This window comes from Homo sapiens, chromosome 14, assembly GCF_000001405.40.
Source record: "Homo sapiens chromosome 14, GRCh38.p14 Primary Assembly".
Taxonomy (NCBI): domain Eukaryota; kingdom Metazoa; phylum Chordata; class Mammalia; order Primates; family Hominidae; genus Homo; species Homo sapiens.
In genome coordinates, this window is record NC_000014.9 from 72,623,465 (window position 1) to 72,642,840 (window position 19,376).

Below are 19,376 nucleotides of genomic sequence, written 5' to 3' on the forward strand. Positions count from 1 at the left end.
TAAATGCAGATCTGCATATATATGTGTGTGTGTGTGTAATGTTCAGCAATTATATTATTGGTTTAAATATTGGAATCAATATTCTGAGACTGCTTTATGTGCATCAAATGAGTAATTATGTTGGTATTATTGAAGAGCAAGATTTTGTAACATGGTTGAAAGAAAATAGAAATGTAGGCCAATGAAGTTAAGTCAAAAGTCAGTAGTTGGTTCTAAGTATGAACTGGATGCATCAGTATAAATTCATGGTGTAGTGTATCTTTAAAACAAGCAAAAAATATTTTCTACCTCTGTCCACAGAAAGTGCTCCAAAACAATGACTAACAGCAAAATTAGCACCTCTAGCACCCATATTATGTTCTCTAAAGACCATTGCCCACTAAAAGGAATTAGGAGTCCTGGGAGAAATAAGTGATTCCAGGTCTGGAGCATAAAATGTATAAATATATTTACATATTACAAAGTAAGGAAGCTATCAAATACTATTAGGATTATGTCAAAAGGACTCAGGATCCAACCTGAATATGTTACCACTGGTCAAAGATGGGACAATTTTACCTATAATGGATTATAACAAATAAAATATGTTTAAAATCTTAAGTTCATAAACATATTTTTTAAAACCTTAGTCACCTTCAGAAGATGCTAGAGAAACATCACACTATATTTTTATTTATTTATTTGAAATAATTTTAAACTTAGAGAAAAGTGCAGAAATTATGCAGAGAATTGTACTCACTGTGCCCTAATATTAACATATTATATTACTATAGCAGAATTACGAAAATCAGAAAATTACCATTGGTGTAATACTGTTAACTAATCTACAGACTTTATTTTAATTTCTCCAGTTTTCCCACCTATGTCTCTTTTTTTTTTTTTTTTTTTTTCTGAGACAGAGTCTCACTCTGTTGCCCAAACTGGAGTGCAGTGGTGCCATCTCGGCTCACTGCAGCCTCCTTCTCCCGGGCTCAAGCAATTCTCCTGCCTCAGCGTCCTGAGTAACTGGGATTACAGGCATGTGCCACCATGCCTGGCTAATTTTTGTATTTTTAGTAGAGACAGGGCTTCACCAAGTTGGCCAGGCTGTTCTCCAGCGCCTGACCTCAGGTAATCCGCCCGCCTCAGCCTCCCAAAGTGCTGGGATTACAGGCGTGAGCCACCACGCCCGGCCCCCAACCTATGTCTCTTTACCAGGGATCCAATCCAAGATCCCTCATTGCATTTAATTGTTGTGTTTTCTCAGTATCCTTCAATCTGTGACAGTTCCTCAGTTTCTTTGTCTTTCATGAGCTTGACACTTTCAAAAAATCCAAGCCAGTGATTTTGTAAATGTCACTCAATTTCAGTTGGATCTTTTCTCATGATAAGATCCACATATGCATACATTTTTTAGCAAGAATACCACTAAAGTAATGTTGTGCCCTTCTTGGCGCATCATATCGGGGGAAATTGAGGCCAGTACGTCTTATTACTTGTAATGTTATCTGTGATTATATAGTTAAGGTAGTGTCTGCCATTTTTTTCACTGTAAAGTTACTGTTTTTCCCTTTGTAATATACTAATAAGTAATATTGTTGGGGAGATACTTGGAGATTATCTCCTCAACAAGAGAAATAGGATATTTGAGATTATGTAAATATCCTACTTCTCATCATACTTTTGCCCACTAATTTTAGCATCAATTGACAGTTCGTCCTTATAACCATAACTGTGAAGTGTGCCCAATGATTATTTCCCCTTTCCCTCTACATTTACTCATTGGAATTCTGCTCTAAGGAAGAGCTTACCTTCTCCTCTGTTTACTTATTTATTCAATTTTTATATTAGTATAGATATTTATTTTTTCTTTAGGTTATAACCTAATAATGTCATTATTTTTTTGCTCAAGTTTTCCTAGATTTGGTCATTACGGGTTCCTTCAAGTTGCTTCCTGTGTCCTCTAGACGCATGAAAATATCCTTTCATTTTTTGAACACTTCCTTACTTTCTGACACCACATAATCCTCCAGGCTTATCTGGCATATTTTGCATCCCAGCCCTGGAATCAGCCATTTCTCTAAGGATCCATGGTTCTTTTTATGAGAGAATGGTGTTTAGAAACCAATTCCTTGATGCCATGTGTCTTCATTGCTTCTGTGTTGTCATTGCTTCTAGGCCCTCCCAGCCAACACAGCTAGGAAATAAATGTATGTGTAGGTACACATGCATACATCTCTACTTATTTCTGTCTATTAATATATGTGTACACATATGGCTAGATATAATATGTATAAACTATATATAACACATTGTATGTAAAATCATGAATTCATAGTGATACCCACTATTCCAAACCAATGCCTTCAATCTAGCCTTCCCCCCTTTATTTGGTTATTCTTTTTCTGACTTTGAGAAACTAGACTCTCATTAGTCACAATACACAGTCATTAGTTCAAATCTAGCATACGTAGTTTCAGAATTACTAATTCATATACCTATGAAAATAAATTAACTAGAGTACAGTATTTGTGGTGCAGTTATTTCTGTCCTTAGCTTTACAACACACAGTCAAAATACTGTTTTCCAAAGTTACTTAGGTTATTCTTTTCTTCCTCACTCTTCGGTATAGTTACATTATCTATTTACGTTATACTGTTTATTTGTTACTGTTTTTATTTCATTTTAGTTTTTCCCTACATCTTGGTTGATTTTAAGTATTTATCTATTTGGGAGGTATGTAAAACCTTATGATGGTTGTAAGAGTCAAAGCTATACAAGAAAGTATTCTCAAAGAAGTGTTGTTTCTCCCTTATCCCTACTATCCCATTTTCATTTTCCCATTTTTCTCTACCCCATTCTCCCAGACCCGTGTAGGTAACCAGTCTCATTAGCATCCTGTTTATTCTTCTTATATTTCTTTTACACAAGTGAGCAAATGCATGTAGGTTTTCTTATGTCTCTTTTTTCTTACAATAAGGTCAGCATACTATAGATATTCTATTTTACTTTGCTTTTTTACTTAATATATTCTGGAAATCACTCCAAATCAATTCATAGACATCTGCCTTATTCTTTTTTACAGCTGTATAGTACTCCACTGTATGGCTGTGCCATTGTTTATTCAACAACTACTCTTCCATATATGGATATTTAGGTTGTTTCCAATATTCTGTAGTAATGAACAATGCTACCACAAATAACCTTATGCATTCCATCATGTTGCAGGTATATCTTCAAGGTAGATTCCTGTAGGTGAGAATGCTTAGTCAAAAGTTAAGTGCATATTAGCTCTGTTAGGTATTGTCAAATTTCCCTCCCCAGGGTTGTACTAATTTGTATTCCCACCAACAATGTATGAAGGCACCATTTTTCCCATAGCTTCATCAACAGGATATATTGTCATACTTTTCAACTTTTGCCCATCTGATAAGTAAGAAATGATATCTCAGCTTTGAGTTTCTTTGTGAGTGCATTTGAACTTTTTTTTTTTTTTGCATCTTTAAGGGTCATTTTTATATCTTTTGTGGGTTGTCTTTCATGTATTTTTCTCATTTCCTATCAGGTTTCTGGTCCTTTGTCCTCAATTTTTAACACTTCTTTTTATATAGGGAATTAGCCCTTAAACTGTGGTACATGCTGCCAAAATTTCCTCCCAGTTTGTCAGTTGTCTTTTGACTTTATCATGTTTTTGACTATGCAAAATGTTTATGTAGTCAGATATACCAACATTTTATTTAATTGCTTCTGGATTTTGAGTCACAGTTTGAAAACCTTTTCCTGTATTTAGATTAAAGAGGAATTTACTTGTGCTTTCTTCTAGTACTAGCGTGGTTTTACTTTGTACATTTAGATCCCCAATGTATTTGGTGATTATTTTTATGTATGGTGTAAGATATAAATCTAATTTTGTCTTTTCTCAAATGGCTACCCCATTGTCCCAGCACCATTCATTTAAAAGTCTGTCTCTGACCCAGTAATTTTAGATGTGACCCTTACCCTATACTGTATTTCCATATGTAGTTGGATCTATTTATGGGCTTTCTATTCTATCTCAGCTGGTCTATTTCTCTCCTCATGCATCAGTGCCACACTGTTTTATCTATAGAGGCTTTACAGTATGTTTTAATATCTGGTAGGGCTAGTTTCCATCACAGTTTGTTTATCAGTATTTTCTTGCCTATTTTTGCATGTTTGTTTCTTCATATGAACTTAAGTATCGATTTGTCTAACTCCATAAAAAAAGTTTGTTGATATTTTTATTGGACCTGAGATAAATTTATAAATTAACTCAGGAAGAACTGACATCTTTATAATGTCAAGTCATTCTATCCAAGATCATAGGATGCCTTTCAATTTGTTCTTTGTGTTTTTGAAAAGTGTTTAAAAGTTTTGTTTATATAGGTTTTGCACATTTGTTGTTAAATATATCCCTAAGTATTTCTTCTTTGTTGCTATTATAAATGGAATTATGTTCTCTAACTGGTTATTGTTTGTATATGAGAAGGCTGTTAATTATGTGTGTTAGTTTTATAATCTGTTACCTTTTATGTTTGAGTTAGCTTATCATTGATTCTCTAAGGTTTTCCAGATATACTATCATATAATACAAAAATAGAGTTTTATTACTTTGTTATCCATTCTTACATCTCTAATTAAATTCTCCTGTCTAATTGCATTAGGTAATGTCTCTAGAATAGTGTCGAATCATAGTTATAGAGATAGTGAGCATCCTCCCCTGGTTCCTAATCTTAGTGGAATTGTGCCTAGTGTTTTCCTCATTAAATAAGATACTGGCTTTAGTTCTAAGGTACAAATACTTTATCATGTTAAGAAGATATCCCACAATCACTATTTTTAATGTTTTTATCATAAATAGATATTTTAACCACACTGTTTTTTTAAAACTGACAAAGGGAAAGAATCAAGCATTTTTTTCCTGCCATTTCTATATGATCTACACCTGAAGGTAACCAAATGAAAGATTGGGCAAGTTTATCTTCCTGGAATTACTCCAGCAATAAACAAAAAAGAAATTATCCAATAAGAATATCACTATTTTGCAACCCCTAACAAAATAGTCAATCCAGTCAAAGGTCATCAATAGATGCTACCTTTACAAAAAGAGAAACATCAGGCATTATACATCCTGATGAAAGTGTACACCACCATCTATGAAGTAGTCTTGCCAAAAGAGAGAGAGAGAGAGAGAGATGGAGACAGAGTTGGTGAGAGGAGAGAGAGAGATAAAGACAGACACAGAAAAAGAGACAGACAATCTGAATCAAGCCTCTAGCCCTAACAATTGACAAGAAATTCAAGAGACAGAGGAAAATGTCAGACAGCACAGAGATATACTCAGTCAAATACAGTCATGAGAACTTGAACAAATGATCTGATTTCTTCAACAAAGAATTTAAGGGAGGAAGAAAGAGAATAAGATGGAGGGAAAAGTCTATGTGTTATTTAAAGAAGCTATATGTAAGTTTATATGCACCTACAGATATTTAAATAAACTTCAAAGACATATCAACTAATTGCAATGTATGGGCCTTATTTGAATCCCAATTCAAATAAACAGGCTGTAATAGAAACATTTATGAGACAACTGAGGAAATATGAGACGACTGGATGTTTGATTGTACTAAGGAATTATTGATTTTTTAGCTATGTAATATTTTGGTTATTTAGGTATAAAAGTAAGTCCTTATCCTTTTGAGATACATATGAAGTAGTTACAGGTAAAAATGATATTATGACGGAGACTATGGAGAGGGAGGTCATGGTATTTATGAAATAAGATTGGACGTGTACTGATCTTTGTCGAAGCTGGTGATGGTTTACATCAATTCTATTATTCTCTCTGCCTTTGTATATGTTTGAAATTGCCCATAATAAAAAATGTTCTTGAAAATTTTGCACTTATTATATTTAACATTTAGACCAAATGAGATCATATACTGTGGAATGTGGTGGAAACAATCAAATACATCCCTGCCATAAGCAGTGTTGACCACTGTCAGTCTCTGAGCCCTCAAGGGCTAATGGCCAGGTTGCTCCCAAGTGCCAGGGTAACAGGCCCCAGGGGCCTAGTGACAAGAGTCCTTCCTTCCTCTTCACCCCTCAAAGGACCCCAGCTCTGTGGATTTCTCCCTCCCACAGGGAAAGCCCCAAACTCACATCATTCTCTGAGGTCCCACAGAGGATACAGGATTTGCACTCTATGCACTGCCACTTGTAGGTCTTGACAGCCTCGGTCATGTTCAGGGTAAACTGCAGGCAGGTTGGGTGACCTGGAGGAAGCCAGAAACAACAGCATTAGGGCCAAAGTATGAACTGCCACCCCTCAACACCACTCACTGGAAACACATTGATGCCCAGTGTGCAGGCAGGGCAGGGTAGCATGACGTAGGGAAAAAAATGGGGACCCAAACAGGGCCCTACCCACATTCTTCACCACCCAGTTATTCAGATCAAGGGCAAAACAGAGATATAAGCACATCCAATTCTGCTTGCACTGAGACCATATTCCCCAGCAGGTGTAACCAGTTGATGAAGATGGAAAACAATGATCAGAGAGAACGAGAGAGGAAACTGCAGAGTACACAGCCTGGGGCAGCACTATGAGAGACACCAGTGGGACCCTCCAAGCCCCAGCATCAGCTATGGCAGCACAACAGGTAAGAACTATTTGGAGCTGGGCCTTCTGATCCAACCAGTTATTCACACTGCCTTAGGGTGCAAGGGAGGCTATCAGAAGGATTGTATGAGGTTTCCAGGGTCAGTGCTCAGGGATAGGATGAGGCATTGCACTGTTACCTAAAGTATCCATGCCCACACTCATGAGACTAGCAAAAGTTCATATCCTGAACAGTACCACGGACTACAGAAGGAAGTGGCCTGGCAGGGATGGCAAAGAAATGGAGCATCAGAGCAAATGGCCAGGTCTATCCTAAAAGGACTGGTTCCCGGTTCTAACTCTTTTCTCCATCCCAAGTTTCATGGGAGCCAACCCAATCACAAGATGAGAGAAGGGACATTAAGCTGTGACCTTCAAGCACAGCCCCCGTGAGCCATGCCCAAGACTTGGCCTGTGGAACTGGACTCTGTCCTCAGACCTAGGTCACCTAAAAGAGAGATGCTTGCAGGGAGAGGACGGCCATGAACTGTAGAATGCAAAGACCCTTGGCCTTCTATGTGGCATGGAAGGATAACTTGGATGACATTCCCAAGTCGCCCAGTACTGTGAAACAGATCAGAATCTGCCCAGAACACCCAGGGCAAAGCCAATTACTGACTCTGTCACAAAAAACATTGACAGCTTTGCCCAGTGCCGAGCACTCACCGTTCTCCAGAGCTTCCAGTTCTGCCAAACCCATTATATGGTGCCTTGTGTTGCCTCTTTCATTTGAAGGATTATATGCTTTAAAGAAGGATGCTAGAGACAGGGGACACCAATCATGGTTAGCACCGCCAACCTAGTATCCTCCACAGACAGGATCCCCCATGGCGCCACCACCCCTTGGCAAAGCCACATCTTAACAGGAGCCCCCATTTCCTCCCTTTCAAATCTTCAGAGAGCTGTTCACATCATGACCATTTGGATGAAATACTGTCTATTCAGCCAACATAAGGATCCTTCACATTTTGAGCTCCACAAATAGAAACCATGCTGAGTTATCTTGGAGAGGGCGAGGGGTGTAGAAATGACTTGTTGGTGGTGGGGAGGGGACACTCAGTGAATACAGGCAGAAGCAGCAAGGAGAGGCCTGATCTAAAAGCTTTTCAAGGACTTCTCAGGTACCATCCAACTTAGAGACTTCCGCAGCTCTGAACTAATAACCCTCTCAAGGTGATACCATCACAGTGGCCCCAAAGAAAAAGAAGCCTTACATTAAAAGCCTGTGTGAACAGCCAGCTGATATTCTTGAAAGCATCTCAAAGATTGGTCTAAGAAGAACATTAGCCAGGGTTACTCCCTATTCCAGTCTCTCAGAGAGAACACTGGGATGGGTACAGGGTAGGAAATATCTGTTTGGGACTCCATGTGGTATGACCACAGATGCCCAGTTTCTCTGACCAGGCACCACTGAGAGCATGAACATGAGGTCATGGAGCTGATGCTCATATAGGCAAGTTGACTTTGGCCAGTTCTGTGCCACACCCCAGCCACACCCAGCCAGCTTAGGATAACTATTCATTAACTTACGAAGTACTTATTGAGCACCTACAAGGCAGGCCATTGTGCTAGACAGAAAAGACACAGTGGGGATGAGCAAGATACCTTGAGCCCTTCCAGCCTAGCCAAAGAGGCCTCAGATTAATCAGCTACACATGTATCTATCAACTACAATTGTATAATTAGTGCCATGAAGGAAAAGCATAATTGGCCGTAAAAACACATAGAAGAACCTAACCTAGACTGAGATGACAAGGAAACCTTCCCTGAGAAAGATCTTTAAGCTGATATGTGTCAGATGAGACGTTAGCTAGGTGGGAAGAGGAGGATTCCAAGTAAGGGGAACAGCATGGGTGGAGGCTTTGAGCAGTGAAGCAGCTTAGCAAATTACAAGGAAGAGAAAGGCCAGTGAGCAGAGGCTTGATGAGCAAAAGGAAAGGGGTAAGAGGTAGCTGCAGAGGTAGCTGGAGAAGGATTACAGGCATTTGCAGCCCTTATTTAAGAATCTGTTTTTTAAGTCATTAAAGGCTATTAAGCAAGGCAGTAAGTGGGTCACATTTTGTTTTTAAAGGAGCACTCTTTAGCATGAGTGCTATTGGGATGAAGTGGTTCTGTATCTTGATTGTGGTGGTTACATATGTGATAAGATTGCATAGAACTGTACATACACATACACATATGTATTTGTACATGTAAAACTAGTCACATCTGAATAAAGTCTATGATTGCATTAATATCAATTGCCTGGTTTTGATATTGTGCTATAATTACATAAGATGTTGCCCTTGGAGAAAACTGAGTGACGAGCTCAAGGACTTTTTGTAATATATTTTGTAACTTCCTATGAAGCTATAATTATGTCAAAATAAATAGTTGAAAATATATTTTTAAATAAGGAAAACAAATAAAAAATTAAATCATCAAAAAGAAAGGAAGGTGGAAGGCAGATAAGAAAAAGGAGAGAGAGAGGAAGGAGGGAAGGAAGAAAGGAAGGAAGGAAGGAAAGAAGCAGGAGGAAGGGAGGGAAGGAGGGAGGGAAGGAAAGAAGGAAGGAAGGAGAAGGGAAGAGATGAAAGGGACAGAAGGGAAGGAAGGGAAGGAAGGGAAAGAAGGGAAGGAGGGAAGGATGGAGGGAGGGGAAGGGGAGAGAAGAGGGGAAGGGGATGGGAAGGAGAGAGGAAGAGGAGGGGAAGGGAGGGGAAGGGGAGGGGAAAGGGAGAGGGGAGGGGGAAGGACAAGAGAAGGGGAGGGGAAGGGAGGAAGGAAGGATGAAGGGGCTGTACGCTAAGGAAAGAATTGTTGAGGGGTGGGAGGGTACAGGAATGTAAGAATTGTTGCCAGGAAGCTAGTTAGGAGGCTAATGCAGCTACCAGGAGAGATACAAGAATGATTCAACTAAGGTGGAAATTTGAGAAATGTTAAAGAAATACTTGACAGGACTTGACTATTGTTTGAATGTTGGGAATATGGGAAAATGATGAGAAATAATCCCAAGTTCTGACCCATGAAACTAGGTAGATTGTAGATTACAGTGAAACTTAGATGAGAAAGACTGTAGAAGGATTGCAGGGACCACATAGAGGAAGAGGATTCCTTCTGTGTTGAGCATGCTGAAACTGAGAATTCTGGTGGAAATGTTGAGTGGATAGTTGAATGTATGGGTCGAAATTCAGAAGTTTTTGCTAAATAGGTGATAAGTGAAACCATGAGAATTAATGAAATTATCTAGGGAAAAGGGAATGAGGAAGTATCTAGGGAAAGAAAGGAAGAGGAGAGAAGAAAGGAGAATAGAGAAAAGGGTCTAGGACTGAGCTTGGAGGAGCTCAAGTCCTCCAAGATCAAAAGAAAGAACCAGCAAAGGAAAGAGAGAAACATGGCAAGAGGTAAGAAGCAAATCGGGTGAGTATGGGGTCACAGTAACCAAAAGAAGAGGTTTCAAGAAGGAGAAGGTGGTCAACTGTGTTTACTGCCACAGGTTCTCTAGTTTGTCCTTGCTCAATAAAGACCCCGAGTGAGGGAATGTTGACAGATCAGGGCAAAAGCTACCCTACTAATAATAACACGCTTCAGTCATGCCATCTTCCCAAGGAAGGAAAGTCAGCACATTCCAGAGCATGACAGAACTCAGCAGCCAAATGTGCATCTGAGCTGTCTCTGTGAGGAGGGGCCGGGGGTGGCGTGTGCTGCATGCATGTAGCAACACTCCACCAATATTTATCGAGAGCCAGCTCTGTGTCTTAGTTCTCTAAGACTCCTGTGCTGAGCTATGAAGACATTTTCTGGGATAGCTTTGGACAATGGATGGTAGCAAGTGGGTTTTGGAAATGCCTGTTGGAAGTTTCTGAAACAATCTCATGGCTTTCTCTGTGTTCCCATCTTGAGAAAGTCATCAGCCTCCTGAAGATCTTCAAACCCGAAGCAAGGGAGCTAAGTTCACACAGCCTCAAGCCCCCGACAAAATGCAGGACTAAGATGGGCCTTAGCAGTGGCTGCAGGAACTCCTTCTCCTCCACACTCAGGACATCACTCAAGCGCAAGAAGAAAGTAGGGGAGGGAAATACTATTGTAACTTCTCAGCCAGGGAGGGTGAGACACAAAAAGTTTAAGTCATCAGCAGGTGCAAAAACTGTGCCCAGAACTAAATCCTCCTGTCTGGACCACCATAACAGATTTGCTCCTGCGCCTTTCTCCAAAAACTGCAGAAATCATTTGCCAGACAAAACTGCAAGAATGAGACTTCTTACCTGCCACAAAAATTACTTCAATAATACACACTGTTAGACAAAAAGAAGTGTCTAAGGAAAGTAATAGCAGCTTGTTTCTAAGGTTCACTGGTCTTACTTTTGCCCAGAACTAATTCCTAAATGCTTTGAAAGTAAGAGAATAACAAATACGGTCTTTCCAATTCAAAGGTGAAAGAAAAAAAGAGGCACATGGCTATAAGGTAATTTGTAATACTTATGGTCACTTGATATTTGAGGATCCCTATCTTAATCTCTTTTGTAAAGTTAACCCTCATTCTCTAGGGTATTAGGCTGGTGCAAAAGTAATTGCAGTTGTTGCCATTAATGGCAAGTACTGCAATTACTTTTGCACCAACCTAATACTTGCTTGGAAATCTAGATTTTTTCATAGCCCCAGTTTTCTTTAGAGCAAGAAATACCCATATTGCTATTTAAATAGCCTACTATAGTGGAGGGAAGACAACCCTTCCCAGGCCCCCCTGGGTGCCATGATTCAACAGAGCATTTATAAGATTCCAATTACCAAAATGAATTTAGAAAATGGTGCACTGTGCATGATTCAGCCCAGCCGGATCATTAAAAACCTAGTCCTTCCCGGATGTTCCTCTAAATGTATTCTATCAGGAGCATTCAGTAAATCTCCTGCTAGCTTATTGAGCTGGGTCAGTGGTGAACTTGGTGTGAAGAGCCATTCCTGATTCAGCCCTAACCCTTCCAGAACTGACCTCAATCCTCCCTAGAGGTTGACACTGGGTATGTCACCCATGGCCACTATGTATGGGAGATCTAACTGCTGGAGTGGGCTTTTGGGAGATCAGCATTTGGCTTCAGGGTGCTATTTCAGCAGATGGAGGGAAAGGGAAACCAATGGGTTATGGGAAACTTCTCAGACAGATGATAATCCATGAGGCTGGGAGTACCCGGTGTTTCTGACACTACAGCCTACTGAGCTCAGTAAAAAAGGAAAGGCAGGCATCTGAGAGCAGTGACAGCAGCCTTGGCACTGGAAGGACACATCTCATGTCTTTACAGAAACATGTGCACAGATGCTGAAAATGTTCAAGGGACAGCAAATGGGATTTGTGGTATTTGAGTGAGAAGGCACACAGATAAATATCCAGGCAAAACTAGTGTTAGTTTCATATTCACAGCTGCCAATTTCTATGCACGCTAATACACAACTGCCCCAACACAAGGGTATTTCCAGCCTTTTAGGGGAGAAAATATCTAAATATACCTTGTGGATTAAGCTGACATTATGATTGCAACTTAAAAGCTAACCTAAGTCACTTACTAGTCAACCTCCTCTATAGATATTCAGTACATTGAGAGAAACACAGTTCATTTTCAACAAACCCTGGGCAAAAGAAATACACAAACTGCTATGACATGTGTCTCTTACATTATGATCCTTATTAAAAGAGTTTTTATTTTATTATCACCGGTATTTAATTTGGACTAGGCTAAGCCACATCACTGATTGAATTAGGGCTCCAGGAAAAAAAATTATCTTCCTAGGTATGCATTGAAAACATAAATAAAACAAATATAAATAACTTTGGAATCAGCATGGTCTATTATTTATTCATTGTGAAATTATAAACATCTAATTATACTTTATTACCTTATTTATCAATGTTGATCTCTTAAAAGCTAATTTCTCAGGCAAAGAGAACTTAAATATCCATGGTTCTCAGGCAAGTAAATGCAAAACTCAAATTGTGCTCCTTATTCTGATGCTTGGTTTACAGAAATTGTATTACATAAAATACATAGAATCAATTCCAACCCAAAATAGCGCCAAAAACAAGTCTCCATGGGCATTCATTAGAAAATAATTTGGCTCAAATTTCAAATAGTTCTCTATATTCTCATACACATATAAAATTCCTGGTATTTACAAATTGCAAATGTATATATGAAGTTTTAGCTAAAGCATTTATGCAAAGTATAGTCATATCTGAATCATCATGCTACAGGGTAATTTGAGAAGAAAAATTATTACTAGTTCTCTTTGGGAAGCCATCTCATTCAATCAGATCCATTCATTTTCATTCTCTCACTCCTCTCTTCTCTCTTTCTCTTCTCTCCCTCTTCTGTCTCTCTCTCTGCCCCATTCCCTCCCCCTCTCTTCATGCTCCTCCACTTTGAGACCCAGCTTGGCAGGTGGAGAGAAGGAGGCTCAGTCATTATATTGAATCTGTAAAGGGGAAAGGGATGGACCAATTCTGAGCAATCAAAAGTTCAACTCCTTTATGTATATACTATGGCAAGTATGATAACTGGGCACTGCTGCTTCACATAATTATTTCTCAAGCCCTGCTTTGTAAACCTTCTGCAAAGGTCTGCAGGTTCACCTCTATCTGCCCCCAGATGTTACTTCTAATGCTGAAGACACCTGCAAATCGATGATCACAATGGCACTCCAGAGGCATCTGAATGGCTCCCTTTTTCTCTCACCATTTTTATTGCACTTCAAAGAGGACAAAGAAGAGAAAGAGAATGGAAAGGACAAATACCAAACAAACAAAAATGCATTAAAAATAAATGATAGCGTGAGCTGTGTGGCTGCCCTTTCTTGGGCAAAACACCTTCCTGTGCATCCAGCTCCACTCCTCTTAGAGGTTTGTTTATCCTCTCCTCCAGTTGTCAAGGTCTGTGGCACCCAGGAAACACATGGGATGCAAGCCCCAGGGGCTATTGCACCAGTCATTCTTATAAATAACCATACAAAGCACATTCATGCAAGAGTATTACGGGCACTTTTAATAGGCTAAACAGCCAAGGGCTCATGGCGCCATTCTCAAATGGTCCTAGAAATTCCCCAAGTTTTCGTGGTCAGGTGTGGTCCAAGGTGGAGTCTCTAGGAAGTGGATCTACACCTGTCTATAAGCCTGAGGGCATACATCATGGTTGGTCTTCTTAAAGTGAAATAATGGGATAGGGAAGCCTTGACCTGGATTTATACAATTTACTCGACTCAACTTGGGGCCAATGCACAGCACTAGGAATACGTTGAGAGTCATAGTAATGACCCCAAAGCCCCTAATTAGTCACTGCAGCTGAGGATCAAAAATAATTTATTCATTTATTCATTCCTTTGACAGTATTTGTTGAATATATAAATATGGCAGGCACTCTTCCAGGTACTGGGGATATAGCAGTGAGAAAATCCAAACCCCTGCCCTCAATTTACAACTGCCACACTTTGAGATATATTACAGCACCTGAGTCCTTTGGACAAGTCAATTGACTTCTCTAGCATTAGTTTTTCAATATATTAAGTTAAAGCATTGGAATCTGCTATCCATGAAGCTGTAGCTTTGTCTATGCCACCCAAAAATGGTATTTTTAAAGATACTACTGATCCCCAATTGCCCATCTGCTTGGTGGGATAAACAAGCCTTCTAAAGTTTGCCAGCTAAAACTGAAAGTTAAAAAAGAAAAAAACTAAGAAAGAAATTAAAATAGCCAGTAAGTCCTTCTAGAATTCATGTCAACTTTCCCATATTGACCAGCCCAGTCCGATCCAATGTCGACACAACAAAAGATGGCCAAGACAGAAAGCAAAAGAAATCTAGAAATCTAAAGGACTTTTCATCAACCATACCACCCACCGCCATGCAATAAGTTAGGCCTATACAGATGAGCTGTCATAAACTGAAGGTAGACAGAGGCCTTGGGTAAGGTTCCATCGATGAGGAATATTAGATCTGGGATGAGCTAGGTTGAGCTGCTGTGTGACAGCTGCAGATATTGCCAGGCAGGAAGTGACTAAGAGAAGAGGGTCATCGGTATGAGCAACTCTGGATGACTTTCCTTTTAAATGCTTCTCTGGATTTGTAGATTGCAGGCAACCAGCTGCCCAAAGTGATTCTTGCCCCACAACAGTGTGTGAAGGTCAGGCGGCTGAATCATTGCCCAGAGCCCAACATCAATTTTAGATGCCAAGCCTTGACATTTGCTGTGCATTCCAGGCCTCTCTGGACCTCAGGAGCATCCAACCATGGGACCTGGCTAAAGGCTCTGTGTTTTCTTTAGGAAAATGAGCCTGAAAAAGAAACCATTGCTTAGATTGGAAACCCTGTAATCCCTGTACTTCCTACTGTCCTGAGTACATCCAGGAGAATTTCAAAATGTCTGTAATTGATGTATAGCTGGTGGAAAACAGCAGTGATTGGTCAACACTTGATTGCCCATGATCCTCCAACTGCTGATCATCCATGAATTAGAAGATGAATTCATGAGTGGTCTAAGTTCTTGAGTTGCCTGAGGACCTTTGAAGTAGCATTCTAATTTTTTCTTCCAAAAAATATTCCACAGAGTTGTGCTAAGTCAAAAGGAAAAAATGCTTTCCTATCCTTTTCTACGTGAGCCTGGGAAGCAATCATAGAAGTACCTAGAAGTAGAGGACTGACAGTGTACTCATGACACTTAGACACTTTGTTTTACATTTTTTTTTTTTTTTGAGACGGAGTCTTGATCTGTCGTCCATGCTGGAGTGCAGTGGCGTGATCTTGGCTCACTGCGAGCTCTGCCTCCTGGATTGACGCCATTCTCCTGCCTCAGCCTCCTGAGTAGCTGGGACTACAGGCGCCCGCCACCATGCCTGGCTAATTTTTTGTATTTTTTAGTAGAGACGGGGTTTCACCGTGTTAGCCAGGATGGTCTCGATCTCCTAACCTTGCGATCTGCCTGCCTTGGCCTCCCAAAGTGCTGGGATTACAGGCATGAGCCAGTGCGCCATTTTTAAATCATTTTAGTCTAATTTTGAGTGTTCTTGTGGACTTTGCAATCTACCCAATTGTGATCAGATTCTCATAGAAAAATAATTCCACTTAATTTGGCAAAATTCACTGAGCACCTGTTCATTGCCAGGAACTGTACAAGGTGCTGAAGTTTCAAAGAGGAATGAGGCATGACTCCTGCCTTGAGGAGCTCAGTTTGGTAGGTGTGCTAGGCAGTCTCTGGCGTGGCTATCAATGAAGGACACCATACTCTTTTGTCATTCTCCCCCCTTGAGTGTGGGCTGCACTAAATGACTCACCTCAAACTAGTAGAATATGGCAGAAGTGATGAGATGTCACTTATAATATTAGGTTATAAAAAGACTGCAACTTTCATCTTCCGAATCCTCTCTTATGCTTTCTCACTTACTTGCTCTAAGGGAAGCCAGCTGCTATATTGTGAGATGCCCTACAGACAGGTCCATGTGGCAACATATGAAGGAAGGCCTCAGTGCAGCAGCCCAAGGGGAACTGAATCCTGCCAGAACCCACACGTGTGGGCTTGGAATTGAATTATCTCCCAAGTGAGCCTTCAGATGAGACCACAGCCCCAGCTGACAACTTGACTGCAACCCAAGGGAGGCCTTGGGCCAGAGGCACCCAGATAAAACACACATAGATTCCTGACCCACAGAAACTATGAGATAATAAGTGTTTGTTGTTTTAAGCTGTTGAGTTTTGGAGTAATTTCTTACACAGATAACTATTATATATAGAGAGAGAGACTCTTTTAAATGACTATAATACAATGTGATAAGTGCCATAATAGGAGAATGAATGAAGTTCCTACAGATAAGGAAGCAATAAATAATGCTGGAGAGGCTCAGGGAAAGCCACTGAGAGGAGGTAGCTTTCAAGCTGGGCCTTAAAGGATAAATAGGAGTTTTCTAAGTAAAAAAAAAAAAAAAAAAAAAAAAAAAAAAAAAATGGAAACAGCATTACAGGGAAAGGCAACAGCAGGAAATATAAGGTGCATGGTCCACTCAGGCAAAGCAGAGTAGCTCAAGGAGAGCAGGGAAAAGAGGAATTGCAGGAGATGATGCTAGAAAGGTATGAGGAAAGATTATGAAGAGCCTCTTATGTAGGCATGAGGATCTGAATTTAATTCTGTAAACAGTGGGGACTCCTCGGAGGTTTTTAAGCAAGAAACTGATGTGCTTGTACCCATGCTTTAGAGAGATGAGTCTGGTGATAGGTCAGAAGGCAGATGTGTTGGAGATGGCTGGGGAAGGGGGACCAGTCACTAAATCCATCTATTCAATGAGTTTGTATTGAGCACTTGCAATGTGCCAGGTGCTGTGATAGATGCTGAGCAATGGAAAACAGACAAAATCCTACCCTTCTGGAGCTTACACTGTAATGAGGGGCATTAGTCCAGGGCAGATCTAATAATTGTGGGGATGAAAGGAGGAAACATTTGAGAGGTAGAATTGGTCAATAGGACGTGATACCTGCTTGAATATGTGTGTGAGGAAGAGGCAGAAGTAAAAAATGGCATCAAGATTCCTAGGTTGGGCCACAGAGTAGATGATAAAACTGTTAGCAGAGATGCGACTTGCAGAGTATAACAATGGATTCAAACTGGGCACATTCCATTAATTGTGCAGATGAAGATGCCCAGGAATTGGTGTGAAAATGTGGGTCTACATTCAGGAGACAAGACCAGGCTAGAGATATAAATTTAGAAATCATCAGGTTTGGGTGGTAGATGAAGCCTTGGAAGTTGGTGAGACATTCAGGAAGAGACCACAGAGCACAAAATAAAAAGGACCTAGTTAGGGGTAGAGGGAAGAGTAACCATTGGAGTTGAAAGCGTTAAAGAGCACCAAGAAGAGAGTCCACTGAGAAAGCTGGAGACAATGTGGTCAGAAAGGGAGAAGTATCTGGAGAGAGGCACCTCATGACATCCAAGGAAGAGGAAGGGTGGCACCACCATCAAGTGACAGATGAAGTAAGATAAGAAACAAAGAGAACGTGTTGCCCTGGGTGAGCCATTGGTGATGAGAACTAACACAGTCACTAGTAGCAATGGGCCCTCATGCCTCTCCAAATCACTGATGGCTTCAGCAGCGCAGAGAGAAGAACTCATACACAGATGGCCTCACAACATGCTTCTTCTGCCGCAGGCTTTGTCCAGCACTCTCAAGCTTGGAAGCACCGTGCACAATGATCTCAGGAACATTGTCTTTACCTAACTCCATTCACTCATAGCAGGAATCATTTTCTGATGTAGATTCTGGGGCCAAAGCTAGGCCCTGCCAGCCTCAGTTTCTGTCCTTCCCCCGGCGATGAATCAAATCCCACTGGAAGCCGTGCCTTTCTTTCTGACCTTGGATCGAAGATCTTCAGTCCTAGGTGACTGAGCCTTGCCCACAAGGCTGGGGCAGGTCCTGATGGAGGCTTCTCCCACAGCCCCAGAGTCTGATCAAGTGGCAGTGATGAAAATTCTCCAGGAGGGAAGTTGGGGCCAAAGGTAGGAGGAGCAGCACTGGGAGCCAAACGGAATGGTGAGGTGAGGACAGAAATGGTGGCAGGCAGCAATGTTGGTGGCTGCAGTGCTTTGCAAAAATGCCCACAAATTCCTTGGTCCTCCTCTTTTCAAGAAGTGGAGGCTATTCCCCTCTTCTTGAATGTAGACTGGGTTTAATGACTTGCTTTTAACAAACACAGTAAAGAGGAGTGACAATATGCAGTTTTGGAGACTAAGTTATAAAAGGCACTGTGGTTTCTGTCTTGACTGTGCACTCTGTCTCTATGTCTCTGTCTGTCTCCGATCACTCACTCTGGAGGAAGCCAGCTATTGTGTTGTGAGCTGCCTCATGGAAAGGCCCACATGGCAAGGAGCTGAGGGAAGCCTCTGTTCAGCCAGCAAAGAACTGAGACTCTCAACGCAGCAGCTCATGAGGACCTGAGGCCTAATGGCAACATGAGAGTGAGCTTGGAAGTGACTCCTTCAGCCCTGATGGAGCTTTGAGATGCCTGCAGCCTTGGCCAACATCTGGACTGCAGCCTCATGGGACACCCTGTGACACACCACCCACCCAAGCCATTCCCAGGTTCCCAACCCTCAGAAGCTATGAGATAATAAATGTTTGCAGTTTTAAGCTGCCAAGTTGGGGGATAATTTGTTACACAGCAATAGCTAACTAATACAATGGCAAAGGAGGAACAGTAAGGGGCCTGGCTGAACACCAGACATTTGACAGAACTCCTGCTTAGGCAGTGTCTGCATTGTGCTCCCAGCCACAGTGAGGCCCAGCACTGGGCTGGACAATGAAGGAGAGGAGCAGGGTTTGGGATTTTAGATCATTTATCTCTTCCATGCTGTTATTATTTTTTTTCAGTGAATCTCCTTTAAAAGAGCTAATAGTGGGAACAAAGATAATTTCAGTGGCAATATGAATGGGTGTGACCCCTCAGCATTTACAGCAAGGTGAGTGCATCTGCCTTCGGTTTCCTGGGTCCAACTTGTTTCCATGGCATGGCCCGAGGAGACTCACTGCACCAAAGAGCCTGCCGTCTTCCCCTCAGGCCTTGCCCTCCATGCCCCTGTCTCACTCTCACCCTGCTCTGCCTTCCTTCCACCTGCCTGAGCCTCTCTCACCTCCAACAAGCCTCCCCTTTAGGTTCCCCAGAACACAACCCCAGTGTTAGAAAGTCAGAGGCTTCCTAGAAGTAAGCCAAACT

At 41.1% G+C, this 19,376-nt stretch overlaps 2 protein-coding genes across 2 annotated transcripts in view; one reads left to right on the forward strand and one right to left on the reverse strand.

Moving 5' to 3' along the window:
* The window catches only part of RGS6 (regulator of G protein signaling 6), a 762,695-nt gene extending 756,130 nt beyond the window's left edge, over positions 1-6,565 (forward strand). Inside the window, exon 18 of the mRNA XM_017021825.3 lies at positions 6,516-6,565. Within this exon, the coding sequence (XP_016877314.1) occupies positions 6,516-6,524 (9 nt within the window). The 3' untranslated portion in view covers positions 6,525-6,565. The remainder of the gene's footprint in view (positions 1-6,515) is intronic.
* DPF3 (double PHD fingers 3) overlaps positions 1-19,376 on the reverse strand; it is a 285,068-nt gene that overhangs the window by 14,431 nt on the left and 251,261 nt on the right. The window contains exon 9 of the mRNA NM_001280542.3: positions 6,160-6,272. Within this exon, the coding sequence (NP_001267471.1) occupies positions 6,160-6,272 (113 nt within the window). The remainder of the gene's footprint in view (positions 1-6,159; positions 6,273-19,376) is intronic.